Below are 27,627 nucleotides of genomic sequence, written 5' to 3'. Positions count from 1 at the left end.
ATAGATAGATAGATAGATAGATAGATAGATAGATAGATAGATAGAGATTTTATTAGGCGGAATTGGCTTACACAATCACAAAGGTGAAGAAGTCTCACTAACAGGGTGTCCACAAACTGGAGAACCAGAAAAGCTGGTGGCTTCATTCCAGTCCAAAAGCCTTAGAACTAGGAAAGACAAAAGCGTAGTCCCCAACCTGTGGCTGAAGGCCTGAGAATCCCCGAGAGGCTGCTGGTGCAAGTTCCAGAGTCCAAAACCCAAAGAACCTGGAGTATGATGTGCAAGGGCAGAAGAAAGATGGCATCCCACTCGAGAAGGGAGCAAGAGAAATAAAGCAGTATGAGCTGAGTATCCCCCTTCTTCTGCCTGCTTTGTCCTAGTTGGGCCAGCTGATTGCATGGTGCCTGTCCACCTTCAGGGTGAGTCCTTCCCTCTCAGTCCACTGACTCACAAGTAAATCTCCTCCGGAAACACCCTCACAGACACACCTAGAAACAATGATTCAGCATCTAGGCATCTGTCAATCCAATCAATTTGATATCTAATATTAATTATCACACCCACTAACTCTGCCTTCAGATTATTTTAAAGCAAATCTTAAATATGTTATTTCTTTTTTTTTTTTTTGAGACAGAATTTCTCTTGTTGCCCAGGCTGGAGTACAATGGCGTGATCACGGCTCACTGCAACTTCCACTTCCTGGGTTCAAGCAATTCTCCTGCCCCAGCCTCCCAAGTAGCTGGGATTACAGATATGCACCATCACACCTGGCTGATTTTGTATTTTTTTAGTAGAGACAGGGATTCACCATGTTGGTCAGGCTGGTCTCAGACTCCTGACCTGAAGTGATCCAGCCACCTCAGCCTCCCAAAGTGCTGACATTACAAGCGTGAGCCATCATGCCTGACTCAGACATGTTCTTTCATCTGTAAATATATTTAGTATGTACTTTGAAAAAATAACTAAAAAATAACCACAGTACAATCATAAAACCTAAAAAATTAACAGTAAATCTTAATAACAAAAATCCAATAAGTACTCTAATTACCCCAGGTCCATTTAAGCAGGGCTTAAATGAAATCCATACATTGTAACTGGTTAACAAAGTCACTAAAATTTTTTCTTTTTTTTTTCTGAGACAGGATCTTGCTCTGTCACCCAGGCTGGAGTGCAGTGGTACAATCACGTGTCACTGCAGCCTCAAACTCCTGAGATCAAGCGATCCTCCCACCTCAGCCTCCCAAGTAGCTGAGACTGCAGGCATGCACCACCATGCCCAGCTAATTTTTTTTTTAGATTTTGTAGAAACAGAGTCTCTCTAGGTTGACCAGTCTGGTCTCAAATTCCTGGCCTCAAGCTATCCTCTGGCTTTGTCCTCCCAAAGTGCTGGGATTACAGGCATGAACTGCCACACCCTGCCCAAATTTCTTGTAATCTAAAGGCAGAGCCAGCTTCAAGTTGTGTGACCAGTGCAGTTGCATACGGCACTGTGCTAAGGAGGGTCCCATACTTGGGGTTTAATTTTCTGCTGTTGCTGTCTTGAAAGTCTAATTCTATCTTTAATTTTGTGTTTTATCAGTGAAGTAGTACAAGAGAATAATAGAGCATGTGCCTAGGGCTTGGTGTCTCAGCTAACGTGCAGTACCGCTTTCTGCTGCTTCCCCAGCTGCCTCCACGGGCTGAGTCTGCAGTTCCCTGACAATGGCCTATCTTTCCCCTCCCCTCCAATACTACTGCTGCCCTCCTCCTTCCCCCAAGCTGGCAGCACCATCATACATTCTGCAAGTGACTTGATGCCCACCCCAGATCCAAGTACAAAACACATACAAGGGGGTTTACCTGTCCTCTGTGGGTTTGGCCAGGAGGACAGTGGAATGAAATGGTTTGTTAGACTTTCCTGCCCCCAGCCAGGGCACTGCATGTTGGTCCAGTGGCTGGCTGGAGGTGGAACTCAACAGCTGGTGGGCCATGTGGGTGCGTCAAATCACCTATGGCCCCTGGATACCAGTGAGTGCTGCACTGGCTGAGTAAATGTCCTCACCTGACAAAACATGATGTTAAATAACAAATGAAAAAATACTATGAAAAGTGGAGAGACAGATTGCAGAATAAAGGAAAGTGCCTTATATTTTGGTATCTTTAATAGCACCTTTTTCTGTTTTTTTTTTTTTTTTTGAGACAGAGTCTCGCTCTGTCACCGAGGAGGCTGGAGAGTGCAGTGGCACGATCTCAGCTCACTGCAACCTCCGTCTCCTGGGTTCAAGTAATTCTTCTGCCTCAGCCTCCTGAGTAGCTGGGACTACAGGCGCCCGCTACCACACCCAGCTAATTTTTGTATTTTTAGTAGAGATGGGGTTTCACCATATTGGTCAGGCTGTCTCGAACTCCTGACCTCATAACCTGCCTGCCTCAGCCTCCCAAAGTGCTGGGATTACAGGCATGAGCCACCGCACCCGGCCTTCTACGTCTTTGAAAAAGGGACCTCACACTTTCATTTTACACTGAGCCCTGCAAGTTATTTATGTAGCTAGTCCTGTCTATAGGTGGGGTTTTTTGTTGTTTTTTTGAGACAGAGTTTCACTCTGTCCCCCAGGCTGGAGTGCAGTGGTGCAATCTCGGCTCACTGAAACCTCCCCCTCCCAGGTTCAAGCGATTCTCGTCAGCCTCCCAAGTAGCTGGGACTACAGACACCTGCCACCACACCTGGCTAATTTTGTATTTTTAGTAGAGATGGGGTTTCACCATGTTGGCCAGGCTTGTCTTGAACTCCTGACCTCAGGTGATCCACCCACCTCTGAAGGGATGGGTTGCCCCTCCACACCTGTGAGTGTTTCTCTTAAGGTGGAATGAGAGACTTGGAAAAGAAAAAGACACAGAGACAAAGTATAGAGAAAGAAATAAGGGGACCCAGGGAACCAGCGTTCAGCATATGGAGGATCCGCGCCGTCTCTGAGTTCCCTTAGTATTTATTGATCATTCGTGGGTGTTTCTCTGAGAGGGGGATGTGTCATGGTCACAAGACAATAGTGGGGAGAGGGTCAGCAGACAAACACGTGAACAAAGGTCTTTGCATCATAGACAAGGTAAAGAATCAAGTGCTGTGCTTTTAGATATGCATACACATAAACATCTCAATGCTTTACAAAGCAGTATTGCTGCCTGCATGTCCCACCTCCAGCCCTAAGGCGTTTTCTTCCTATCTCAGTAGATGGAACGTACAATCGGGTTTTATACCGAGACATTCCATTGCCCAGGGACGGGCAGGAGACAGATGCCTTCCTCTTGTCTCAACTGCAAGAGGAATGCCTTCCTCTTATACTAATCCTCCTCAGCACAGACCCTTTACGGGTGTCGGGCTGGGGGACGGTCAGGTCTTTCCCTTCCCATGAGGCCATATTTCAGACTATCACATGGGGAGAAACCTTGGACAATACCTGGCTTTCCTAGGCAGAGGTCCCTGCGGCCTTCCGCAGTTTTTGTGTCCCTGGGTACTTGAGATTAGGGAGTGGTGATGACTCTTAAGGAGCATGCTGCCTTCAAGCATTTGTTTAACAAAGCACATCTTGCACAACCCTTAATCCATTTAACCCTGAGTTTGACACAGCACCTGTTTCAGAGAGCACGGGGTTGGGGGTAAGGTCATAGATTAACAGAATCTCAAGGCAGAAGAATTTTTCTTAGTACAGAACAAAATGGAGTCTCCTATGTCTACTTCTTTCTACACAGACACAGTAACAATCTGATCTCTCTTGCTTTTCCCCACATTTCCCCCTTTTCTTTTCGACAAAACCGCCATCGTCATCATGGCCCGTTCTCGATGGTCGCTGTCTCTTCGGAGCTGTTGGGTACACCTGCAGACTAACAACAGACAAAACAGGCACACAAGGATTAATATGAGATTTATAATCATAGTACTTCCGATGGTCTTAACCCAAGTGACAGGGTTAAGATTTGCGAGGCCATCAGCAACTCCTGCAATTGCCTCAGTTCCTGGCATCAAATTTAAATGGGCTTTTGATGCTTCGAAAATTTGTTATTTTAATTTGGAAATGTCTAAAGTGAGATTATCTTCTCTTCCCTGTAGATGGCGTCTAACCATGTCCCAGTGATGCTCAGACTCATTATAAATTTGGGGTGTAATACAAAAATCTGACGTATTCCAGTCACACTGTAACTGGAAACAATGTTCTAAGCTCATGAGTCTGTCTCCCATCCAAATGACAGTTTGTCTAAGATCATTAATTTGATTTGCCAATTTTTGATCAATACTAGATTGTGAATTCCACAATCTTGTAGAATTCTTTTGCCAATCATTAACAAAGTTTACCGACTGAACAGAAGAGTGCAATGCAACTCCTGCCACAGCAGCCGTAGCTGTGACTGCAATTAATCCCATAATCACTGCAATTAAGGTAAAAATGAATCTTTTGGATCTATTTAAAATGCCTTTTAATACTTCAGTCAAAATATGGATGGATGGCGAGGCCTCCCACGGTCAGTCCACGGACACAGAGATCCACACGCCCTCTCTTGCTCTCACCAGCAGAATACGGTGCCGCCAATTAAAAGTTGAATCAATGCAAGTAAACAATCTACAATTTTCACAGGTTATAGTTTGGGAGTCTGGTTTAATAACTATATTTCCTACAACTAGCATATAAGAGGGCTTTACGCAACTTTGTAAAGGAACCGTTAGACTGGAATTTAGGTCGATAGTATAAAATGGCTTACGATCTCTTGTTTCTAAAGTTTGATTTCCAGACCAAATTCTAATGTGGTGTCAGGCCAAAGCCTCCATAATTCTGGATGTTCAGGACCAGAAACAGGACTTATTATTTCTGGTCTTGGGGTAGAGATTCCTTTTTCTCCCCATTCCCAAGGGTAGAAAGACTGTAATTTTTTATGCTTATGTTTGTCTAGACTTTCTGTTAAGTCGCTATCAACAGCTGGACTCACTTGTGCACTTGGACACGACTGAGTTTGTCCTGAGCAATTGTGGTAGAATTGACCTCGAGGTGCCCAATCTATAATAGTTCCGAATTCATTGTTTTGTAATATCACCGCACTATTGGCCACACATTCTTCCCAAACTAAAACTTCTGTATTTTTTGATTCTTTGGGAATTTCCTTGGGGCAAGGTTTCCCTTTAGGTCTAAATTTTAATGATCTTTGATAAGAAAAGTCTTGTAAATAATTTACCCGTGGCCTGAGTGACATCCCGCTTACCATGTGATAAGTGAATCTACTGTTAGGACTGACAGTAGGTACTTCTACCAACCAATTTTGGACTGCAGGCATTAAACATCCTGGTGCTCTCCCTAGGCAAATAGGAGGATAACGATACACAATGGAAATATTTATCATCATCCCTTCTTCCTCAGGTTTGGCAGGGCAGCGATCATCTGTGGGGCCAGGTACCCATACACTATCATTAACATATACTTCTATAGGATTATCCATCCATGTGACTGGGGTTACCATCTCTGTGGAGGCCCTTTTCTTTGCATCTCCGATGGGTTCATTGTAGAACTTCAAATGTCTAGTGGGTATCCAAACAGGAAGCTGATTTTCTCCTGGTGAAACACAAGCAAAACCTCTCCCCCACGTTATCACCTTCCCTATTTCCCATGTCTTATTTTTATTATCTTTCCACCAAATTAGTTTTCCTTCATGTGGGCTGTGCTTTTTACCAGTAAGATGTTGTTTTGCAGAAGTAGTAGTCTGATTTCTATAAATGTTTAAAAAATTTAAAGTATAGAGTGCTAGATTAAGTTGCATCTGAGGAGTGGTACACTCCTTACTGTCTCCCCCTTCTTTTTGTTTAACTAATTGAGTTTTGAGTGTTCTATTAGTTCTTTCAACTATGGCCTGTCCTTGGGAATTATAAGGAATTCCTGTTGTATGTGAAATTTTCCACTGACTTAAGAATTTTTGGAAAGCTTTACTACAATATCCTGGTCCATTGTCAGTTTTGATTTTTTCTGGAACTCCCATTACAGCAAAACAAGATAATAAATGTTTTTTAACATGGGAAGTACTTTCTCCTGTTTGGCAAGTTGCCCATATGAAATGTGAATAAGTATCAACTGTTACATGAACATATGATAATCTTCCAAATGAAGGAACATGCGTGCCATCCATTTGCCATAACGCATTAGGACACAGACCTCTGGGATTAACTCCTGCCTCTTGAGTGGACAGGTGTAAGACTTGACACTGGGTGCAATGTTGTACAATATCTTTTGCCTGTTTCCATGTGACATCAAATTTGTTTTTTAATCCTGCTGCATTTACATGAGTCAAAGCAAGAAGTTCTTGTGCTTTTATGAATGCAGATGATACCAGTAAGTCAGCTTGTTCATTTGCTTTAGTCAAAGGCCCTGGTAAATTAGTGTGTGCTCGAATATGAGTAATATAAAATGGGAAATTTCTTTTTCTTACAGTTTGTTGTAATAAATTGAATAGCTGGTTTAAATGATCGTCCGTGCTATATTTAATTAGAGCTGTCTCAACATCCCTTGTAGCCTGTACTACATATGCAGAATCTGATATAATATTGATAGGTTGGTCAAAATCTTGTAACACTGTAATGACTGCAACCAACTCTGCTCTTTGAGCTGATTGATACGGAGTTTTGATTACTCGTTCTTTCGGCCCTGTGTAAGCCGCTTTTCCATTGCTGGAACCATCAGTAAATACTGTTAGAGCATTTTCTAAAGGTTCACGTCTGGTAATTTTAGGTAGAATCCAAGTAGTCAATTTTAAGAACTGGAAGATTTTTGTTTTTGGGTAATGATTATCAATAATTCCCAGAAAATTAGCAAGACCAATCTGCCATGCACCAGAACTGATAAAGGCTTGTCTAACTTGTTGCTTGTTGAAAGGAACAGTGATTTTATCTGGGTCATTTCCACACAATGTTATTATTCGTAATCTTCCCTGACCAATTAATGTAGCCATTTGATCCAAGTACAATGTAAAAGTCTTAATTGTACTATGAGGAAGGAAGGACCAATCCACAAGATCTGTGTTTTGAACAATGATGGCTGTTAGAGAATGTGCAGTACCAAAAATCAAAATTTGGAGTGGGGCCAAGTGATCCTATTTACTTGTGCTGACCGAATTTTTTTCTTCAATTAATTTAATTTCTTTAGTTGCCTCTGGAGGTAACATTCTTTCACTATTTAATTCCAAGTCCCCTCTTAAGAAAGAGAACAAAATTGACATGGCATAAGTAGGAATGCCTAGAGTTGGCCAAATCCAATTAATATCTCCGAATCCAATTAGTATCTCCTACCAACTTTTGAAACTCATTTAATGTTTTTAATGTGTCTTTTCTTATTTCTATTTTTTGTGGTTTAATTTTCCTTTCCTCTACCTGCATTCCCAAGTAATGGAAAGGAGGAGAGGTTTGAATCTTATCAGATGCTATTGTCAGTCCCGCGTTGGCAACCTCTGTCTGAGAAATGTGTAACGGTCAATTAATTTGTCTCTCGTTTCTGCAGCACACAAAATATCAACATAATGAACGATATAACAGTCTGAAAACTTGTCTCTAACTGGTTGCAGAGCTTGAGCTATGAAAGTCTGACAAATAGTTGAATTATTAAGCATTCCCTGAGGCAATACTTTCCACTGAAACCTGGTGGCTGGTTCTTTATTATTTAGGCTGGTATAGTAAAAGCAAATTTTTCAAAATCCTCTTTTGCCAGAGGAATGGTAAAAAAGCAATCCTTCAGATCAATTATAATTAAAGGGGACCATGGCTGGAGAGGGCAACCGGGATGGGAGAGCCCCCATGGGTTGAATTATGGCATTAATGGCTCTTAAGTCAGTTAGCATACGCCATCTGCCGGATTTTTTCTGAATTACAAACAGGAGAATTCCAAGGCGAAAATGAAGGCTCAATATGTCCTTTTTCTAACTGTTTCTTTGCTAATAAGTGTAAAGCCTCCAGTTTTTGTTTTGGAAGCGGCTACTGATTTACCATACAGTTTTTTTTTTTCCCCCCAAATTAATGGAATGGGTTTTGGAGGCTCTACAGTGACCGCTTCTAAAAAGGATGCCCTATTCCTTTTCTTTTTTTGATTTTTTTCAGCCTCAGTTGGGACTTTAATGCCATCTTCATTCTTTCCTAGTCCCTTTTTAGGGAGCTATCCCATTTTAGTCATGATTTTTTGATTCCTGGGGCTGTATAGGGAGGCTGGGATAGTAATCTCTGCATGCCATTGTTGTAACAAGTCTCGGCCCCATAAATTGATTGGAATAGAAGTGATCATAGGCTGAACCGTACTTTCTTGATTATCAGATCCTAGACAATGTAAAATCATGGCACTCTGATACACTTCTGAGGCGGTGCCTATGCCGATGATAGAAACATCAGCCTGGGTATCCACTAATCCTTCAAACTCTTTCCCTGAATAGTGACTGTACACACGGGTCTATCCTCTGAGACCTGATTAGCCCAATAAGTGGCTTTTCCTGCAGGGTTGGTACTTCCAAACCCTCCTGTTCTTTCCGTTTTGTTTTCCCCAATTTTAACATAAGGCAAAAGCAGTAATTGAGCAATTCTATCACCTGGATTGGCACTCCAGGGAACAGTGGAGCTGATCACTAACTGAATTCCCCCTTTATAATCTGAATAAATTACCCCAGTATGAATTTGGACTCCCTTCAAATTTAGACTTGATCACCCTAAAATAAGGCCTACCCTCCCTTCTGGCAGCGGGCCATATACCCCTCTAGGAATCTTTTGTGGGGGCTCTCCAGGGAGTAAAGAGACCATTTGGGTGGAACATAAATCTACTGTGGCGCTGCCTGCTGTGGCGCGGGACAGCTGTTGGATTGTTGTAATTGGCTGACTCCCTGAAGTGGTGGTATTTTCTGTAGGGGTTGTTGTCCTTGAAAACCCTGAGGAACAAACAGTTGAACTGGGAATGCCCCAGTTTGTTGGGGGGCCTGAGGCTGGCCCCTCTTCCTGTTTCCCGACAATGGTTGCCCATCTTTATCAAATTTAGAATGACATTGATTGGCCCAATGTTTTCCTTTTCCACATTTTGGACACAGGCCAGATGGCTTTTTATTTTTTGCTGTAATAGCTTGATTTATTATATTCTGTTTATTTAAGACTGGGCAACTCCTTTTCAGATGACCGATTTGACCACAATTATAACATTTTTTCCCAAATGTTCTAACTTGTCCTCCTAGAGTGAGCCCCCTCATTGCTTGAGCCATTAGCATTGCCTTATGCATAGCTCCTCCAATCCCATCACAAGCCTTCACATATTCTGTAATTACATCAACTCCTGCTGGAACTTTTCCTTTTAATGGCTTTATGGCCGACTGACATTCTGGATTTGCATTTTCATAGGCCATTAATTCTACAATAACTTTTCGGGCATTGTCATCTGTAATAGACTTTTGAGCAGCATCTTGTAATCTTGCCACAAAGTCAGGATATGGCTCTTTAGAGCCTTGTCTAATTGAATTAATAGGGAAAGCTGTTCCTGGGTCCTGAATTTTTCCCCAGGCCCTGAGGCAAATAGCCCTTACTTGTTCAATAGCCTCATTCTGCATCACTGATTGTTGGTTAATGGTGCTCCAATTTGGACCTGTTCCTAACAATTGGTCTGCGTCTATATTAACAGTGGGCTTAGTAGCCTGATTTTTTCGTACCTGTTCTTGTACTCCATCAATCCACCAGGTTTTAAACTGTAGATACTGAGAGGATGAAAGGGAAGATTTGGCCAAACTTTCCCAGTCATAAGGAGTAAGTCTATTTCCATGAGCAATGGAATCTAATAATGTTCTTATATAAGGGGAGTTGGATCCATATTGTTTAACTCCTTCCTTTATATCTTTTAACATTTTCATGGTGAAAGGTTCACATCTAGTCTCAGCTCGGGCAGGCGCTCCTACTTGAGTCTCTTCCCCGGCCTGTACCAGTTGTAAAATTACCAGGAACCGCCATGCCTCAAGATCTCCCTGTTTTCTGGCTTCATCAATGACTGCGTGCAGTGTACCACCTTGTCCACTACGTGATGCTGTAGGATTAAGTCTCACAGTGGGCGGCTGAGGATATGGCGCCCTGCCCTGTAGTGCTGGGGGCATTCCTGGATATCCATACTGACTTTCTGGGGGTGGCAGATACTGAAGTTCAGCCGGCGGCCAGTATTGATAAGCTACTGGCGGTTGGGTCTTATTTTCTTTAACCTGCGTTTGAGGTTGTAATGTTACGGGCACCTGACCTGCTGGAAGAGGACTTGGCCCTCGTGGTTTAGACTCTGATGGCCCCACTAATTCTGGACCTTTTCCTTCTAATTTTAACGTTTCAGGATATATCACCCCCTGTAATTGATTATAGTCAACATTTTGCGTTGACTGAGCCATTACTGGCTCTGTTACATATTCGCAATGTAAACTTTCTGTTTCTTTCTGGGATTTTCTCCCTGTCTTTTCATTACAATCTATTACACAGCTTCCAGGGGCATCAGAAACTGAAACGCTATCTTCTTTTGTTTGAAATGGTTCTAAAGCTGCTTTAATAATGGCCCAATCATTCCATACTGTAAGTGGAATGATATTACCCTTTCTACCTGCTTGTTTTAGTTCCTCGCCAATTCTTTTCCAATCTTTTAGATCTAAAGTTCCTTGTTCTGGAAACCATGGGCAAAATTGTTCTATTATTTGAAATAGCTTGATTAGATTTTTTGTAGATACTCTAACTCCCCCTCTTTTTAAAAGAATTTTAATAAAGCTGAGATAAGAGGCATATTTACTTTTAGTTTTACTTTTAGTTTGCCCCATTATCACCCTAGCTTCTTCCGAGCGCACAAGCTTACCGCAAGGCTGACTGTAGATGTACTCGGGATCTCTCGTCAACTTGTCCTCAATGACCACGCTCGAGCGTACCTTCACCCTAGAGAAAAGCCTCCACGTTGGGCACCAGATGAAGGGGTGGGTTGCCCCTCCACACCTGTGGGTGTTTCTCGTAAGGTGGAACGAGAGACTTGGAAAAGAAAAAGACACAAAGTATAGAGAAAGAAATAAGGGGACCCAGGGAACCAGCGTTCAGCATATGGAGGATCCGCGCCGTCTCTGAGTTCCCTTAGTATTTATTGATCATTCGTGGGTGTTTCTCTGAGAGGGGGATGTGTCATGGTCACAAGACAATAGTGGGGAGAGGGTCAGCAGACAAACACGTGAACAAAGGTCTTTGCATCACAGACAAGGTAAAGAATCAAGTGCTGTGCTTTTAGATATGCATACACATAAACATCTCAATGCTTTACAAAGCAGTATTGCTGCCGGCTTGTCCCACACCTCCAGCCCTAAGGCGTTTTCTTCCTATCTCAGTAGATGGAACGTACAATCAATCGGGTTTTATACCGAGACATTCCATTGCCCAGGGACGGGCAGGAGACAGATGCCTTCCTCTTGTCTCAACTGCAAGAGGCATGCCTTCCTCTTACACTAATCCTCCTCAGCACAGACCCTTTACGGGTGTCAGGCTGGGGGACGGTCAGGTCTTTCCCTTCCCACGAGGCCATATTTCAGACTATCACATGGGGAGAAACCTTGGACAATACCTTGCTTTCCTAGGCAGAGGTCTCTGCGGCCTTCCGCAGTGTTTGTGTCCCTGGGTACTTGAGATTAGGGAGTGGTGATGACTCTTAAGGACCATGCTGCCTTCAAGCATTTGTTTAACAAAGCACATCTTGCACAACCCTTAATCCATTTAACCCTGAGTTTGACACAGCACCTGTTTCAGAGAGCACGGGGTTGGGGGTAAGGTCATAGATTAACAGAATCTCAAGGCAGAAGAATTTTTCTTAGTACAGAACAAAATGGAGTCTCCTATGTCTACTTCTTTCTACACAGACACAGTAACAATCTGATCTCTCTTGCTTTTCCCCACAACCTCAGCCTCTCAGAGTGCTGGGATTACAGGCATGAGCCACCGCGCCCAGCCTCCCTTTTAAAGCACTTTCTGAAGTCAAGCCTGATTCAGGATTGCAAGCCTGCAGAGAACTATGGTGGTAAAGCCTAAAAAGATAGAATCCTTCCCACACCTGAGAAGGCAGTATTTTTAGAAGGAAACAACAGAATCACACTTAAGTCACTGCAAAGGCATTCATGTTTATACATTTCTGAAACTGTCTTACTTGAACTTTATGTGGCTTTTAGCACTGTCAAAATGCTTCCATAAGCTTCTATGAGGTTACTGTTATGGATCTCTATCTTCTTTGACCTCATCTGCTCAGCCTCCTTCAATTGATTATTTTCCTCCATTCACCTATCCTTTAAATATTAGTATTTCCTGATTCTTTTTCTTTTTTCTTTTCTTTTCTTTTTTTTTTTTTTTTGAGATGGAGTCTCACTCTGTCACCCAGTCTGGAGTGCAGTTGTGTGACCTCACCTCACTGCAACCTCCAACTCCCTGGTTTAAGTCATTCTCCTGCCACAGTCTCCTGAGTAGCTGGGATTATAGGCACCTGCCACTACACCAAGCTATCCTGATTCTTTTTGTGATGACTCACTCTAGGCACCATTTCTAGGGGTGGTAGACACAGAAACATACTATCCAGATCCCCCTTCAAGCAAGGGCTTGCTGCCTCACAGTGGGCAGCATGGGCAGCAGCATCCTCCAGCTATCAGTAGGGCCTGGCTCAGCTGCTGAGTACTTCCTCACTTGAGGTCATGACCTCTCTGGGGCAGCCCCCATATGGTGACTGAGTAAGGTAGAAGTATAAAGAGGCTTCACATTTAGCCCAACACAGAACACTCCAACAAACAATAATTGTTCCATAGCTCCTGGCAGGGTTGACTGAAGTTTATTGATTGATTGATTGCAGTGGTGCGATCATAGCTCACTTCAGCCTCAAACTCCTGTGCTCAAGCAATCCTCCCACCTTGGCCTCCCAAAGTGCTGGCATTACAGGCATAAGCCACCACACACGGCCTGACTGAGGTTTAGTTGGGCCTATAACATATGCAACTTCTTCCTCTGCCTAACACTGTTTTCTCCCCCTTCCCTTCACAAGACTTGATCTGTAACAAATATCTTGAACCCCAAAGTCAGTCTCAGTAACTGTTTCCAGAGAAGCCAGCTTGTGACAGTAGGTGACGTTATCCCACATATTCTGTCACCATAAGTTCATTACTACTAAAATATATCCTTGGCTGGACATGGTGGCTCACGCTTGTGATCCCAGCACTTTGGAAGGCTGAGGTGGGCTGCTCGCTTGAGTCCAGTTCAAGACCTGCCAAGGCAACATGGTGAAACCCCATCTCCACCAAAAATACAAAAAATTAGCTGGCCATGGTGGCAAACACCTATAGTCCCAGCTATTCATGGGGCTGAGGTGGGATGATCACTTGAGCCCAGGAGGTAGGGACTGCAGTGAACCCTGATCATCCACTGCACTTCAGCCTGGGAGACAAGGTGAGGCCCTATCTCAAAAAAAAATTAAAACATAAAATAAATCATATTACAAACACTCTTCTGAACATGTTTAACTTCCCACTACACAGTTGTACCTTAATATCCCTATCAGCATCTTGAACCCAGCCTTTTCAAAATTAACCCTTTCGGGCTGAGCGCAGCGGTTCATGCCTATAATCCCAGCACTTTGGGAGGCCGAGGCGGGTGGATCACCTGAGGTCAGGAGTTCGAGACCAGCCTGACCAATATGGAGAAATCCCATCTCTACTAAAAATACAAAATTAGCTGGGTGTGGTGGCACATGCCTGTAATCCCAGCTACTCGGGAGGCTGAGGCAGCAAAATCACTTGAACCCAGGAGGCGGAAGTTGTGGTGAGCCAAGATCATGCCATTGTACTCCAGCCTGGGCAACAAGTCTCCAAAAAAAAAAAATTAACCCTTTCCCTGACAAACCTACTCCCTTCCTCTTATCTGTCAACTCTTGACAAATGATACCACGATTCACCAAGTCCTCATTGTCAATTTTTCCTTACCTCCTATATTACCTATTTCTATATTAACAAATTACTCCCCTAAACAGTTTAAAACAACACACATTTATGATCTAACAGTTTCTATGGGTTAGGAATTCAAGAGTGGTTTAGATGAGTGGAAATTGGAAGAGCAAGGAACACGTTCTGCCTTAGATCCTTGATCCAGAGAGCACAAAGATACCTTGATTTCAGCCTAGTGATACTGATTTTGAACTTACTGCCTCCAGAACTGTGAGAAAATATGTATCTGTGTTGTTACCAAGTCCATAGTAATTTGTTACAGCAACTACAGGAAACTAATATAGCAGGGAAATATGTACAAATGGGTGACGAAACTGTGAAGGGAAGCAACACACTGTTCTCACAGGGACAGAGGCTGAAAAGGGCACCAAGTTTGGTTCAGTATTGCTCCATAAATGAATAAAAAGAGAATAGAGTGTAGCTGAACCTTTTGCCTATGATAAAAGCAAAAGCATGGATAAAGTCAGCAATAATTTACGGATGGTGTCAGAAGCTCTACTTTATGACACTGTATAATATAAATTCATTTAGAGGTCTCTCTCTGCAAAATTTCTCCCTATTCTAAGAGCATTTTGAGCACAATTTGTTTGTTATGGGAGTGTGTTACAAGGAACCCTGACAAGAAGGCCCTCCAGTAAAGAGTGAAATACAGCCAAAATCCCTAAGGTCCAGTTTCCTGCATTTCTTCCACAGAACCAGTCAGGCCAAACGTAATTTTAAAGAACAATAAAACAAAATCTTTCTAAAATATTGGGAAGGGACTATAAATTCTGAGGTTCTGTGGAACAAAAAAGGACTGCATTCCTTCAGGTGGATCTTGGTTCCACCGGCTACCTAAACTCAGCTGTGCCTTGGATCTTGTAGAAGCCAGGACTATTTCTGAAAGATGTTTTGTTTTGGTTTTTTGTTGTTGTTGTTTGTTTGTTTTCACACGGAGTCTCGCTCTGTCGCCCAGGCTGGAGTGCAGTGGTGCGATCTTGGCTCTCTGCAACCTCCGCTTCCCGGGTTCAAGCGATTTTCCTGCCTCAGCCTCCCGAGTAGGTGGGACTACAGGCGCGCACCACCACACCAGGCTAATTTTTTTTTTTTTTTGTAGAGGCGGGGTTTCATCGTGTTACCCAGGCTGGTCTCAAACTCCTGACCTCGTGATCCGCCCGCCTCGGCATTCCACAGTGCCGGGATTACAGACGTGAGCCGCTGCACCCGGCCTCCTTTTTTTTTTTTTTTTTGATATGGAGTTTTGCTCTTCTTGCCCAGGCTGGAGTGTAGTGGCGCGATCTTGGCTAAATGCAACCTCTGCCTCCCGGGTTCAAGCGATTCTCCTCCCGCAGCCTCCCGAGGAGCTGGGATTACAGGCGTGCGCCACCACGCCCAGCTAATTTTTGTATTTTTAGTAGAGAAGGGGTTTCACCATTTTGACCAGGCTGGGCTGGAACTCCTAACCTCAGGTGATCCGCCCACCTCGGCCTCCCAAAGTGCCGTAATTACAGGCATGAGCCGCCATGACTGGCCACCTAACATCATTCTTAAGACTGGTTCCAGGCCCGGCGCGGTGGCTCACGCCTGTAATCCTAGCACTTTGGGAGAACGAGTGGATCACCTGAGGTCAAGAGTTTGGGACCAGCCTGGACAACATGGTGAAACCCCATCTCTACTAAAAATACAAAAATTAGCCGAGCGTGGTGGCAGGCGCCTGTAATCCCAGCTACTCGGGAGGCTGAGGCAGGAGAATCAATCGTTTGAACCCAGAGGGCGGAGGTTGCAGTGAGCCGAGACCGCGCCACTTCACTCCAGCCTGAATGAAAGAGCGAAACTCCGTCTCAAGGAAAAAAAAAAAAAAAAAAGACTGGCTCCAACACAATTGTACAGTTTTCATGACATTAGTCAGCCAACTTGTTAGACATTCCAAATATCTTCAACCAGCTACCTTACAAAACGTTTTTAGGGTGAGTTGCATACATAGAAAGCAGAACTCAGTCATTACATTTGTTTCCTAGTCATATACTGCAACCTCCCACAGAATTCAAGAATTGCCTCTGGCCACTCCTTGTCATACGATGAAATATGTAGCATCATAGAAGGGCTCAACAGATTGAGCCCTTGGCCTCCCAGCGGGGCTCCACCGACCCCCTCAACTTCACTAGGCAGCAACTCCGAATTGTAGTTCTTAGGCAGGTACTTAATAGGAATTTTGGAAACTGAATGAGCTCATGTTTAAAAAGCCTTTGGCATAATTCCCGGCACAGAGAAAGCGCTCAAAGAATGTTAATTATAATTAATGCAAAGCGCCAACGCGCACTGTTCGATTCGCACAGCCTGAGAAACGGTTCGGTTGTCATTACTTTCTTATAAATGGTGAAACTATTAATTTGTTTGGTTGAGGAAATGGGCCAACAGGGAAGGCAAAATGTGACTGGTTTTACCTGCGGGGCATTCGTCTTTGGGTCTCTTTATGAGAAGAGAGGACACCTTTCTCTTCAGTTCACATTCCCTGCAGCCGGAAGATGGCTCTAGGATACTTGGCAGTAAGAGAGGCAGAATGGGCCGGGCGCAGTGGCTCCCGCCTATAATCCCAACACTTTGGGAGGCCGAGGAGGGCGGACCACCTGAGGTCAGGAGTTCGAGACCAGCCTGACCAACATGGAGAAACCCCGTCTCTACGAAAAATACAAAATTAGCCGGACGTGGTGGCACATGCCTGTAATCCCAGCTACTAGGGAGGCTGAGGCAGGAGAATCGCTTGAACCTGGGAGGCGGAGGTTACGGTGAGCCGAGATTGCGCCACTGCACTCCAGCCTGGGCAACAAGAGCGAAACTCCGTCTCAAAAAAAAAAAAGAGAGGAGAGACAGAGACAGAATGACTCATAAACCAACTGTCTGACTGCCTTTTTGGCAGGCCCTCTGGGCCCGAGAACCCTCCAGCGCCTCTGGATGAATTGCGCCAGAGGAAGTCAGCTGTCAGGGAAAACGAGATCTTTCGCCTCGCGATGATTACGTCATCAAGGAGGGCCAGGAGCATCGAAGGATATTGGGGAGGAGATTTCCGGCCCCCATCCCCGCAGCGACCTTATAAGGTCTCTTCCCATGATTCTCTCTTTCTTTTCGCCATCTTTTGTCTTTCCGTGGAGCTGTCGCCATGAAGTAAGCACGACCCGTGGTTCCCAATCCGCTTACATCCTCGGGCAGAACTCCTCTCTGTCGTCCCTGGCATGGCTGTAGACACCCTCCCTGATGGACTTTCACTTTTTGTTGCAGGGTCGAGCTGTGCAGTTTTAGCGGGTACAAGATCTACCCCGGACACGGGAGGCGCTACGCCAGGACCGACGGGAAGGTAAAAAGCCGCGTCGGCTTCACCTACCTTCTTGTACTCCGAGGAGGAAAGGCTGGTTTAATTCGGTTTAGGCGGGTTTATTCCCCACATCACCACTGGCCTCTGGAAGTCTTCGTGGACGCTCTGTGGACTGGTCGTTAGGACCAGAAACCTCTAAGTGAACCAGTGTTGATTATTTATTGTGAGCCAGGTCGGACATCAGGAGGGGTTTATGTAACTGATGTCCCGGTGTAAGGGAAATAACTGAGGTACGGAGGTACCCTTTGGAATCCTGGGACGGACAAGAGCAGAATGCTTCCCAGAAGGACGCACCACCCTGTCCTTTGCTATGAGCCTAGATTTCCTGCTCTCGAGAAAAGACTAAACGCAAGGACCTTCATAGTGTGACACAGTTACCTGCCAGTTATGTGACAGCCTTTTGGTCCTTGTGGGCCTCAGTTTTGTAAAATGATAAGCCAGAACTAGCATATTGATCTTCTAAGGATTCCAAGCTTACTCAGCCTCTTGTACTTTGTATAGTTAAATAGTAATTCCTTTGCATTTGTCACTCTAGGTTTTCCAGTTTCTTAATGCGAAATGCGAGTCGGCTTTCCTTTCCAAGAGGAATCCTCGGCAGATAAACTGGACTGTCCTCTACAGAAGGAAGCACAAAAAGGGACAGTCGGTAAGTGGAATACGCCTTGATGTTGGGGGCTATCTCTTAAGTTGTCAAAGCTCTCTGAACGTTGGTTTTCTGCTCTGTAAAATTAAATCAGACTGTATGCGAAAGAGCTCTTAAACTGTAAAGCGTCAGCAAAATGAAAAAGATATTATAAACTGTCTCTATATATTTTAGGCTAGTAGCAATACCGAGTTGAAATTTTAAAGTCAGATAAATTACGTTAAGCACCTTTGCGTTATAGGGCAGGGTGGAAGGGCTTAGTTTTCCAGTGGGAGGAAATTGAGAAGTTACCATAATTTGGTTTTGATTGCAATATTTACAGGATTAGTCCTAACATAGCCAGTGGACCATGAACCAGTCCACCATACACTAGTTCATTCACTAGAAAAACAGTGGTTTTTCTGGTCCTTGTTAAGTGTCCTTTTAGCTGGGTTATACATGAGAAAAAGTTTGAGTGCCATGGTAGGACTAGTATTCAGGAGGCTTGGGAATACTTACTGAACACCTTCTGGATGAAGGACTTTTCTAGGTATTGTGAGAAATAAATGCCATCAGACATAAAATATGTTGAAAGTTCAGAGGAAGGAGAAACTTAAAAGTGGATATGACACACCTATTAGGGTGACTATTCAGGAAAAAAAAAAACAGGAATTACAGGTGTTGGTGAGGATGGGGAGAAATTGGAACCTTTGTGCATTGCTAAATATGCAACAGCTGTGAAAAATCATTTGGTGTTTTCTCAAAAGGGTAAACATAAAAATTATCCCAGCAGTTCCACTTCTAAGTTATACCCTAAAACAGTTGAAAGCAGGGACTCTATAACTTGTATATCAGTGTCATAGCAAATCCGGGCTTGGTGGCAGCGGCTGTACTCTAGCTCCTCCGGAGGCCAAGGTGGGAGGATTGTTTGAGGCAACATAGGAGACCTTTAAAAAAAAAAAAAGTTATTTAGATGGATAATGGTGATAGCTACACAGCGCTATGAATGTACATAAGGCCACTATACCTTTTTTTTTTTTTTTTTTTTTTTTTTTTTTTTTTTTTGGGGAGACAGGTCCTCTGTTGCTCAGGCTGGAGAGCAGTGGCAGGATCACAGCTCACTCCACCTCAACCTTATGGGCTCAAGTGATCCTCCCACCTCCGCCTACCCCGTGGTCCACAGGCACATGCCACCATGGCCCAGCTATTTTTTAAATATATTTTGAGGAGACAGAAATCTTTGCGATGTTGCCCAATTTCGTCTCAGATTCTTGGGCTCAAGTAATCCTCCTGCCTTGGCCACCCAAAGTACTGGCATTACAGGCGCGAGCCATCCTGCATAGCTAAATTATAATTTAAAAAGTTAAAATGAGGCTGGGCATGGTGGCTTACATGCCTGTAATCCCAGCACTTTGGGAGGCCAAAACGAGTGGATCACCAGGTCAGGAGTTCAAGAACAGCCTGGCCCACAGAGTGAAACCCTGTCTCTACTAAAAATACAAAAAAAAATTAGCCGGACATGGTGGCAGGTGCCTGTAGTCCCAGCTACTTGGGAGGCTGAGGCAGGAGAATAGCTTGAACCCAGGAAGTGGGGGGTTGCAGTGAGCTGGGATTGTGCCACTGCACTCCACCCTGGGTGACAGGGTGAGGCTCCATTTAAAAAAAAAAAAAAAAGTTAAAATGGGCCTAGTGCAGTGCCTCACGCCTGTAATTCCAGCACTTTGGGAGGCCCAGGCAAGAGGATCCCTTGAGCTTGAGCCCAGGAGTTTGAAACCAACCTGGCAACATAGTAGTGAAGACCCCAGTTTCTACTTAAAAAAATAGAAAACAGGCTGGGGATGGTGGCTCACGCCTGTAATTCTACCACTTGGGGAGGCCAAGGCGGACAGATTGCCTGAGCTCAGGCGTTAGAGACCAGCCTGGGCAACATGGTGGAACCCGGTTTCTACTAAAAATACAAAAATTAGCCGGGCGTGGTGGCGGTTACTTGTGATCCCAGCTACTCAGGAGGCTGAGGCAGAATTGCTTGAACCCCGGAGGTGGAGGCGGAGGTTGCAGTGAGCCAAGATCATGCCACTGCACTCCAGCCTGGGCAACAGAGCAAGGCTGAGTCTTTAAAAAAAAAAAAAAAAAAGAAAAGAAAAACCAAAAGGTTAAAATTGTCAACTTTACATTTTTACCACAATAAAAAAAATGTTTAAGTGTTCGTTTGAGACAAGAATATTAAACAGGTAAATACTGCCATTTACTGTAGAAAAACTGCCATTTTACTGTAGAAACAATAAGATTGCATCTTTCTAAAAAGTTTAAAATTAGCATGTCTGTAAACCACCAATGTGCCTTATTTTTGTTAAAAGTTTTTAAGGTAATTTTGCATGTCAGTGCCTTAATAAACAACTATTCGAATATACTTTGTTCTTGACTTAAAGGTGCACTGCAAGATCTTTTTCTCATAAACACTGTAGTATAGATTTCCAGTAATCTACAGAAAGTGTTAGATTCCACAATACCTTCTCAGACAAATCCTACCTAACATTTGGTGGCTCTCCTGTCAAATAATTGTCTTAATTTATTTCTCCTAGTGACAGTCCTTTGAGTTAAAAAAGCTGAATATGATAATTTTTTTCAATAAGTAAATTATTAAAAGTATAAACAGTCTTCATTTATACTACTATGCAGTTCATGGAATAACCATTTTCCTTAGAGTTCAATTTTTTGTGTGTCTTTTTAAGGTAGTAAAAAAATGGCTAGGATTTGTAATAGAGGGCTTAATCCATAAGGGAAAACATGTTTTATTTCAAATATATGAATTATTTTTTGTTGAATATGAATCTTAAAATACTTCATTTGCCCTGTCTTAAAAGACTTAATTTTTCCTCCCTCTAAATTCTTGAAGGAAGGTTCCTAAGTGTGCCCCTCATCTTTGTTTTGCAGGAAGAAATTCAAAAGAAAAGAACCCGCCGAGCAGTCAAATTCCAGAGGGCCATTACTGGTGCATCTCTTGCTGATATAATGGCCAAGAGGAATCAGAAACCTGAAGTTAGAAAGGCTCAACGAGAACAAGCTATCAGGTGAGGAATGCTTTCATTATGAGCATTTTACCTATTCGGATGGATTTTAGGTTTGGGTCTTCAGTAATTAAAGTTACCATATAGATTAATATATGTTAAGCTGATTTGGTGGTTAATGAAAATTATTGACAAATTCTTTGGATTTAGCCTACAAATAAATGGAGGTAGGGAAGGAAGGAATATGGTCATTGTACTTGTCCAGTACAGTCTAACTCTAATAATAAGTTGTACCACTAAGGAGTAAAGTGCTTTTGCCTTAAGTTACTTTTACCCCACAGGGCTGCTAAGGAAGCAAAAAAGGCTAAGCAAGCATCTAAAAAGACTGCAATGGCTGCTGCTAAGGTAATTATGGGGTTTCTTTACTTTCTTGAACAATACAACAGGAAAATTTTCTTTTTTTGAGACGGAGTCTTGCTCTGTTGCCCAGGATGGGGTGCAGTGGCGTGATCTGATCTCAGCTCACTGCAACCTCTGCCTCCCGGGTTCAAGTGATACTCCTGCCTCAGCCTCCCGAGTAGCTGGGAGTACAGGTGCGCGCCATCACGCCCGGCTGATTTTTTGTTTGTTTGTTTGTTTGTTTAAGTAGAGACAGGGTTTCACCATGTCGGACAGGCTGGTCTTGAACTCTTGACCTCAGGTGATCTGCCCACCTCAGCCTCCCAAAGTGCTGGGGTTACAAGTGTGAGCCACTGAGCCCGGCTGGAAAATTTATTTTCAGTCTAAATTGTGATAAATGAAAGTTTCACAGTTTTAAGGTATTGAATGCAAGGCTCAATTGGAAATGATGTTTGTAACCAATTACTTGGCCAATGGTTCAGGTCTCCAGAGAGGTGGTCCTCTCCATAAGCCAAAGCATGTGTTACTGTTAGGAACTGGGAAAAATAAAGGTTGGCCTTTTTGTTTGTTTGTTTGTTTGTTTTTTTCCCCCTTCAACACAGGGCCTCACTCTGTAGCCCAGCTGGAGTGCAGTGGCACAATCACGGCTTGCTGCAGCCTCAACCTCCTGGGCTCAAGTGATCCTCCTGACTCAGGCCCCTAAGTAGCTGGGACTACAGGCAAGCACTACCAAACCCAGCTAATAGGTATTTTAGTTGAGATGGTTTCGCCATGTTGCCCAGGCTGGCCTCAAACTCCTGAGCTCAAGCGATCCACCTGCTTTAGCACCCCGAAGTGTTGGGATGAGCCCCTGCACCATGCCTGGTTTTGAAAGTTACTATGGTTATCTACATTGATAACATTGAGAAAAGCTGAGTAAACACTGTACTGTTACTGAGATCTTTTCTGTGAGTTTCTGTTAGGATGCATTTCAGGATCCTACACTGCACTTGGTTGTGTCTCATTTCATCCAGTCTGTGAGGGTATCTTAGTCTTTGTCTTTCATTGTAAAGATGGGCTTTAAATATTTAAGGGTAGTCACATTAAAAGATTGGCATTAGGAATGCAGTTAAATTACTAAGAAAGTGATCTAAGCTACATAAACAATCTGGATGTGAGAGATGGGTAATAATAGGGTAACAAAAGTTTTGTGGAGTAATATTGTGTTATCTTTTTACAGGCACCTACAAAGGCAGCACCTAAGCAAAAGATTGTGAAGCCTGTGAAAGTTTCAGCTCCCCGAGTTGGTGGAAAACGCTAAACTGGCAGATTAGATTTTTAAATAAAGATTGGATTATAACTCTAGGTTGTGCTGGATTTTTTTTTTTTCTTGTAACAGGCATGTTGGACTTTACACGGTCATAGGTGACCTAACAAAGAATGTAAGACGTAGGTATTTTATTAAAAAGTCTATTGCTCAGGAATAATGCATCCTATAAAGTTTTAACTTCTTTGTTGGAGAGAGGTTAAGCAAAATAATGTAAGATGGGTAAGGTCAGATGCTATCTTGGCTTGGCTGGGGTGTATAGGGCACATTAGAAAAACTTAATTGCCTTAACTTTTTGGTTACATTGCTGTAAGTATTAGGATGTTGCTGGTGCAGTGGCTCACGCCTGTAATCCCAGCATTTGTAAGACCAAAGCCAGGTGATCACTTGAGCTCAGGAGTTCAAGACCAGCCTGAGTGACATGGCGAAACCCCATCTCTACAAAAACATTCAAAAGTGAGCCAGGCATGGTGGAGAGTGTATATAGTCCCAGCTGGGAAGCTGGGAGTGTGGAAGGTGGAAGGATCGCTTGAGCCAGGGAGGTCAAGGCTGCAGTGAGCTGAAATCGTGCCACTGCACTCTAGCCTGGGTGACAGCAAGACCCTGTATCAAAAAACAAAAGTACTTTTTAAATGATTTTCTTGTTAAATTACCTTTTCCCATGATAGGCAAATGTAGTTTATATTGGTTTCCTTGTAGTCATTGGTATCTCACCTACCATTTGCTAATAGCTGAGTTGAAGGTGCTAAAAACTCTCAGCTGTATTAATCTACTCTTGCTTTCAGAAAGTAATATCTAAATGAAAAGCACTACTGCTTGAATAAAGAGTATCCTTAGCTAAATTCCCGGAGTAGTTTGTTGAGCTGGGGGCATGCCAGAGCTGTGTTAAACTACAAAAATGTCTGAATAAACTGATACTCAAGAGATTTTGAGATAGTCTCTCTTGTTGCCCAGGCTGGAGTGCAATGGCTCGATCTCTGCTCACCGCAACCTCTGCCTCCTGGGTTCAAGTGATTCTCCTGCCTCAGCCTCCCAAGTAGCTGGGATTACAGGGATGTGCCACCATGCCTGGCTTATTTTGTATTTTTAGTAGAGGCGTGGTTTCTTCATGGGCAGGCTGGTCTCGAACTCCCGACCTCAGGTGATCTGCCTGCCTTAGCCTCCCAAAATGCTGGGATTACAGGCGTGCACCACCACGCCCAGCCTGAGATTTATATATTTAAGATGTGATAAAATAGTAATCAAAACTTACATGTGAAGAATAGGCTTCTACTTCTACAGAAAGGTCATTTTTACCTGCCAACCTGTGCCAAGTTGCAAGGATGCAACTGGACAAATCAGAGTCCTCTTTAGGGAAACATGATTTTACACAGAATACTAGGTGAGAGTATATAGTCAATGTCAACATTTTCCTCCATCACTATCCTATCCAAGGTGATAGAATTTTTTTTTTTCTAGTGCATGTTACATTCAGACGTCCAAGTGTTACAGGTAAAATGAGTAAGTCCTTTTGAGAACCTGAAAATGTAAACTAAAATCAATATAAGAAATATGTAGGCCGGGCGCGGTGGCTCACGCCTGTAATCCCAGCACTTTGGGAGGCCGAGGTGGGCGGATCATGAGGTCAGGAGATCGAGACCATCCTGGCTAACACGGTGAAACCCCGTCTCTACTAAAAATACAAAAAATTAGCCGGGCGTGGTGGCGGGCGCCTGTAGTCCCAGCTACTTGGGAGGCTGAGGCAGGAGAATGGTGTGAACCCCGGGGGACGGAGCCTGCAGTGAGCCGAGATCGCGCCGCTGCACTCCAACTGGGCGACAGCGAGACTCTGTCTCAAAAAAAAAAAATATGTAAAATACAGGCTTTTGCTCATAAAAGCAAAATGTTAAGATTTTGCACTGGGAAGAGTCATTTTTTGTAATAGTTTTATTTAGGGAATTACTGGGAAAATAAAGTCATTATACCCAACTTGAATGTAAAGCTATGCTTGCTGATTTTTGGAGAATAAAATGTCTGGGCTAAATGTTGGCTTTTAATAAAGTGGAGCTGCCCATTGTCATTACCCTTGGGTCTTAGGTAACCTGGGACCCAGAAGAAGCTAGAAATAAACACTACCTGTTCTCACTACAGCAAGTTTAGCTTTACTCAGGAAGACAATTTGACCACTGGGAAAGCATTTTATTAAAACGTTTGTTTCTATTGGCCCAAAGGATAATGCGTGCATCAGTAGGCTTCTCAGTGCTTACAGGTGGTGTTTTGGCAAAAACTGAGTGGAGGGATTTTTTTAACTCTTCTACAACCTAGCTGTATTGTTTGCAGATTTGAATGTATTCACTTAATATATTAAATATTTAATATTAAATATCAATTAACTTAAAATGTTTAGTTTTTTTATTTTTTTGAGACGGAGTCTCCCTCTGTCACCCAGGCTGGAATGCAGTGGCACAATCTCGGCTCGCTACAACCTCTGCTTCCCGGGTTCAAGCGATCCTCCTGCCTCAGCCTCCCGAGTAGCTGGGACTTCAGGCCCAGTAGAGACAGGGTTTCACCATGTTAGCCAGGATGGTCTCCATCTCCTGACCTCGTGATTTGCCCGCCTCGGCCTCCCAAAGTGCTGGGATTACAGGCGTGAGTCACCGCGCCCGGCCAAAATATTTAAAGACAGTATGACAGGAGAGTGGGGTTGGCCTGACACGTAGACCAGCCTCCTGGGTTCGCAGAGGGTGCATTTGGTCTTCTGCTCTCACTGCCCGACCCCATGGGGGAAAGAGGTGCATCTCCATTTTTAAATTCCTCCTTTGAGCTATAGTGGCAAACTCAGCAACTAAGTAGATCCCAAGCCTGGTAGTTTCTTTTTTCTTCTGGGCCTTGAGAGCTCATGTCCCCGCACCTGGAATCTTTCAAGGATGTCCGGGCCATCCGGGAATTACTGCGTGTGCACACACACAAAAACACGCCCCTAACACCAGAGGCTGGCTGTATGATTCTGTTTTCGAGCCTACTGTATTCACCTGTCTGCCCGTCAGCTACTTCTAGGAGCGTCAAAGGGCCTCACCCAGAGACTACAGACCCTCCGGTGGAGAAGTGTACTAGGCCGTGTCTGCAGCTGGAGCCCTCGGCCTGAAATGTTCTGGCTTTAGCAAAGCGGCGACAGTGTCCAACCCCAGTCCCCGAGGAGGGATGTCAGCCCTGGGCCCCTGTGAGCGCTGCAGATTCGTCCCAGGAAAGGGTGACCGGGGTCGCTGCTCCGGGATTACCAGCTAAATACCTGTATTAGCATCCTCAGCACGCACTGGGAGACGCAGCTCAAGTCCGCTCCCCTTCTTGCACCCTCATATATATTTGGTGCAAAATGGAGAACCTTTTCCCCTACGTTTGTGTAAAAATATATGTAAATAAAGCCTTAAAATAGTGTTACCGACCCCCTTTTCCACTCGCAATAACATTGACTATAAATGCTGATAATTCCAAAAGAATCTCGACTCTTCCTTGAGTAGTCTGGAGCTAGCAGGTGCAAGTTTAGAAACAATAACTCATCACTGAGGGAGGCACTGAAAATTTTATAACTGTTAACTGGAATCTAAATTTCCATGTAAATGGGCTGTCTCTGGTCCCGTGTCAAGAGACTAATATTTTTCCAGAAGCCTGAAAATATGCTTTTATGATGTTGGGAGTCTCAAACGTAAAAACGGACTCCTAACCCTCTGGATGTTTCGGCTGAACTCTCAACTGTCCACCAGCTCCCCCTACACGTGGCTCCTTAGAAAGCGTGGAAAAGGGAAAAATGAAAAGAGAAACTGCCAGGACTTAAGATGTCTGCTTAAAGACTCCCTCGAACTGCAGTGAAGGGTCCTACCCGCTTCCAAAATGTCCACCCGCATTCCTGACGTCACTGGATCGGCTCCATCAAGCCAGAAAACGAGAGTGCGCTCCAATCAGGGCTCAGTCCCCGCCCTTGCCTTGCGTCACTTCCGGTGGTGCAGCAGCCATTTTGTCAGTCGCCAGCGGATCCCGCGCGCTGGAGAAGTGCAGTTCCCCCTGGTTACCAACTCGCCCGCTTTTCCTTCGGACTAAGGGAGCCGTCGAAGAGCGCTCGCCAAAGGCGCAGCCGTTTCTCCCTACGGTGCCGCCGCTCCTCCTGCAGCCGCCCGTAGGTAGCGGGCCGTTTTCCTCACCTGTCCCTGACAGGCGCCCTCAGGGAGCCGCGGTCCGCGATGTCAAGCGAGGAAAGCTACCGGGCCATCCTGCGTTACCTGACGAACGAGCGCGAGCCGTATGCGCCGGGCACCGAGGGCAATGTCAAGCGTAAAATCCGAAAAGCTGCCGCCTGCTACGTGGTGCGCGGCGGGACTCTGTATTACCAGCGGCGGCAGCGGCACCGCAAGACCTTCGCGGAGCTGGAGGTGGTGCTGCAGCCGGAGCGACGCCGGGACCTCATCGAGGCGGCGCACCTGGGTCCCGGCGGCACTCACCACACCCGGCATCAGACCTGGCACTACTTGTCCAAGACGTACTGGTGGCGAGGTGAGACCTAGCCCGCGGCGAGGGGGCGGGCTGGCGACTCGTTGCCTGGGCAAGGCTCGCTGGCGAGGCCTATGCGTACCCACGAGTCGGAGGGTCTCGGACGCCTCTGGGCGGCGGAGCTGCTGCCAGGCGGAGCCGAGAGGGTGGGGGACGCGAAAGGAGCCGCACTTCCCACAGGAAGGAGGCCGGCGAAGCTGGGGGCGGGCCCTGGCCCTGGGTGGGACCAAGGGGGCTTCCCCGGAGGCCGGGCCAGCCGCGGGGAGGGGCCGGACGCCTGGGCTGCGCCAGGTCCGCCTCCTTGGGCGGCCCCTTGAGGCTGTAGGCCCCGGCCCTCTGGAGGTGGCGTGTGGCTCGCGGCAGTGGAGGCTGCGGGGTGCACGTTTTCGACTGTGCTGACGTTTGGAAGGGGGGACGAGTCACC

General features: G+C 44.8%; 3 protein-coding genes and 1 long non-coding RNA gene across 8 annotated transcripts in view, besides 14 other annotated features; 2 read left to right on the top strand and 2 right to left on the bottom strand.

The window, feature by feature from the left end:
* Nucleotides 11-1,210: an enhancer, noted in NCBI's record as "P300/CBP strongly-dependent group 1 enhancer chr3:101421445-101422644 (GRCh37/hg19 assembly coordinates)". NCBI's record gives its function as "activates an origin of replication core promoter dependent on BRD2, BRD4, P300/CBP, MED14 and CDK7 cofactors, with strong dependence on P300/CBP, by STARR-seq in HCT116 cells {active_cell/tissue: HCT116}" and the evidence as "EXISTENCE:reporter gene assay evidence [ECO:0000049][PMID:35650434]".
* LOC124906262 (endogenous retrovirus group K member 5 Gag polyprotein) lies at nucleotides 38-27,366 on the bottom strand. Of its 5 annotated transcripts, none has more exons than XM_047449411.1 (3): nucleotides 25,573-27,366; nucleotides 16,422-18,916; nucleotides 38-11,008 (listed from the first exon to the last, which is right to left on the bottom strand). In XM_047449411.1, exons 2-3 carry the CDS (start codon nucleotides 16,430-16,432, stop codon nucleotides 8,803-8,805), a joined length of 2,217 nt encoding a protein of 738 aa, XP_047305367.1. In that variant the 5' UTR covers nucleotides 16,433-18,916; nucleotides 25,573-27,366; the 3' UTR covers nucleotides 38-8,802. The 5 variants fall into 5 exon arrangements, with proteins under 5 accessions (XP_047305367.1, XP_047305371.1, XP_047305368.1 ...); XM_047449415.1 differs by having other exon boundaries at nucleotides 38-10,918; XM_047449412.1 differs by having other exon boundaries at nucleotides 25,694-27,366.
* Nucleotides 1,274-2,032: an enhancer, noted in NCBI's record as "H3K27ac hESC enhancer chr3:101420623-101421381 (GRCh37/hg19 assembly coordinates)". NCBI's record gives its function as "activates a minimal SCP1, AML or CMV promoter by ChIP-STARR-seq in naive H9 embryonic stem cells {active_cell/tissue: H9 hESC(naive)}" and the evidence as "EXISTENCE:reporter gene assay evidence [ECO:0000049][PMID:30033119]".
* Nucleotides 2,033-2,792: an enhancer, noted in NCBI's record as "H3K27ac hESC enhancer chr3:101419863-101420622 (GRCh37/hg19 assembly coordinates)". NCBI's record gives its function as "activates a minimal SCP1, AML or CMV promoter by ChIP-STARR-seq in naive H9 embryonic stem cells {active_cell/tissue: H9 hESC(naive)}" and the evidence as "EXISTENCE:reporter gene assay evidence [ECO:0000049][PMID:30033119]".
* Nucleotides 3,553-4,312: an enhancer, noted in NCBI's record as "NANOG-H3K27ac hESC enhancer chr3:101418343-101419102 (GRCh37/hg19 assembly coordinates)". NCBI's record gives its function as "activates a minimal SCP1, AML or CMV promoter by ChIP-STARR-seq in naive H9 embryonic stem cells {active_cell/tissue: H9 hESC(naive)}" and the evidence as "EXISTENCE:reporter gene assay evidence [ECO:0000049][PMID:30033119]".
* Nucleotides 14,779-15,332: an enhancer, noted in NCBI's record as "H3K27ac-H3K4me1 hESC enhancer chr3:101407323-101407876 (GRCh37/hg19 assembly coordinates)". NCBI's record gives its function as "activates a minimal SCP1, AML or CMV promoter by ChIP-STARR-seq in primed H9 embryonic stem cells {active_cell/tissue: H9 hESC(primed)}" and the evidence as "EXISTENCE:reporter gene assay evidence [ECO:0000049][PMID:30033119]".
* Nucleotides 15,333-15,886: an enhancer, noted in NCBI's record as "H3K27ac-H3K4me1 hESC enhancer chr3:101406769-101407322 (GRCh37/hg19 assembly coordinates)". NCBI's record gives its function as "activates a minimal SCP1, AML or CMV promoter by ChIP-STARR-seq in primed H9 embryonic stem cells {active_cell/tissue: H9 hESC(primed)}" and the evidence as "EXISTENCE:reporter gene assay evidence [ECO:0000049][PMID:30033119]".
* Nucleotides 16,317-17,516: an enhancer, noted in NCBI's record as "BRD4-independent group 4 enhancer chr3:101405139-101406338 (GRCh37/hg19 assembly coordinates)". NCBI's record gives its function as "activates an origin of replication core promoter dependent on BRD2, P300/CBP, MED14 and CDK7 cofactors, and independent of BRD4, by STARR-seq in HCT116 cells {active_cell/tissue: HCT116}" and the evidence as "EXISTENCE:reporter gene assay evidence [ECO:0000049][PMID:35650434]".
* Nucleotides 16,797-16,846: an enhancer, noted in NCBI's record as "active region_20175". NCBI's record gives its function as "activates an Ori minimal core promoter by ATAC-STARR-seq in GM12878 lymphoblastoid cells {active_cell/tissue: GM12878}" and the evidence as "EXISTENCE:reporter gene assay evidence [ECO:0000049][PMID:35858748]".
* Nucleotides 16,857-17,346: an enhancer, noted in NCBI's record as "active region_20174". NCBI's record gives its function as "activates an Ori minimal core promoter by ATAC-STARR-seq in GM12878 lymphoblastoid cells {active_cell/tissue: GM12878}" and the evidence as "EXISTENCE:reporter gene assay evidence [ECO:0000049][PMID:35858748]".
* Nucleotides 17,093-22,720, top strand: RPL24 (ribosomal protein L24). Its single transcript, NM_000986.4, has 6 exons — nucleotides 17,093-17,139; nucleotides 17,254-17,329; nucleotides 17,883-17,993; nucleotides 20,904-21,040; nucleotides 21,319-21,382; nucleotides 22,596-22,720. The coding sequence occupies exons 1-6, from the start codon at nucleotides 17,135-17,137 to the stop codon at nucleotides 22,674-22,676; spliced, it is 474 nt and encodes a 157-aa protein (NP_000977.1). The 5' UTR covers nucleotides 17,093-17,134; the 3' UTR covers nucleotides 22,677-22,720.
* Nucleotides 17,507-17,696: an enhancer, noted in NCBI's record as "active region_20173". NCBI's record gives its function as "activates an Ori minimal core promoter by ATAC-STARR-seq in GM12878 lymphoblastoid cells {active_cell/tissue: GM12878}" and the evidence as "EXISTENCE:reporter gene assay evidence [ECO:0000049][PMID:35858748]".
* Nucleotides 18,874-19,013: an enhancer, noted in NCBI's record as "active region_20172". NCBI's record gives its function as "activates an Ori minimal core promoter by ATAC-STARR-seq in GM12878 lymphoblastoid cells {active_cell/tissue: GM12878}" and the evidence as "EXISTENCE:reporter gene assay evidence [ECO:0000049][PMID:35858748]".
* On the bottom strand, nucleotides 24,594-27,381 carry ZBTB11-AS1 (ZBTB11 antisense RNA 1). Its single transcript, NR_024407.1, has one exon. It is a non-coding gene; the product is annotated as a ZBTB11 antisense RNA 1 (long non-coding RNA).
* Nucleotides 26,679-27,627, top strand: part of ZBTB11 (zinc finger and BTB domain containing 11) — a 28,244-nt gene continuing 27,295 nt past the window's right edge. The window contains exon 1 of the mRNA NM_014415.4: nucleotides 26,679-27,206. Coding sequence (NP_055230.2) covers nucleotides 26,897-27,206 — 310 coding nt within the window. The 5' untranslated portion in view covers nucleotides 26,679-26,896. The remainder of the gene's footprint in view (nucleotides 27,207-27,627) is intronic.
* Nucleotides 26,987-27,541: an enhancer, noted in NCBI's record as "NANOG-H3K27ac-H3K4me1 hESC enhancer chr3:101395114-101395668 (GRCh37/hg19 assembly coordinates)". NCBI's record gives its function as "activates a minimal SCP1, AML or CMV promoter by ChIP-STARR-seq in naive H9 embryonic stem cells {active_cell/tissue: H9 hESC(naive)}" and the evidence as "EXISTENCE:reporter gene assay evidence [ECO:0000049][PMID:30033119]".
* Nucleotides 26,987-27,627: a biological region, named in NCBI's record as "NANOG-H3K27ac-H3K4me1 hESC enhancer GRCh37_chr3:101395114-101395668".
* Nucleotides 27,258-27,627: a silencer, noted in NCBI's record as "silent region_14576". NCBI's record gives its function as "represses an Ori minimal core promoter by ATAC-STARR-seq in GM12878 lymphoblastoid cells {active_cell/tissue: GM12878}" and the evidence as "EXISTENCE:reporter gene assay evidence [ECO:0000049][PMID:35858748]".

Source organism: Homo sapiens, chromosome 3 (genome assembly GCF_000001405.40).
Source record: "Homo sapiens chromosome 3, GRCh38.p14 Primary Assembly".
NCBI lineage: Eukaryota > Metazoa > Chordata > Mammalia > Primates > Hominidae > Homo > Homo sapiens.
This window is presented reverse-complemented; position numbering and strand designations above follow the sequence as displayed.

Coding starts and splice junctions, on each gene's coding strand:
- RPL24 (NM_000986.4), top strand. Junction 17,994..20,903: donor AGCACAAAAAGGGACAGTCG/GTAAGTGGAATA, acceptor TTTGTTTTGCAG/GAAGAAATTCAAAAGAAAAG. Junction 21,383..22,595: donor CTGCAATGGCTGCTGCTAAG/GTAATTATGGGG, acceptor ATCTTTTTACAG/GCACCTACAAAGGCAGCACC.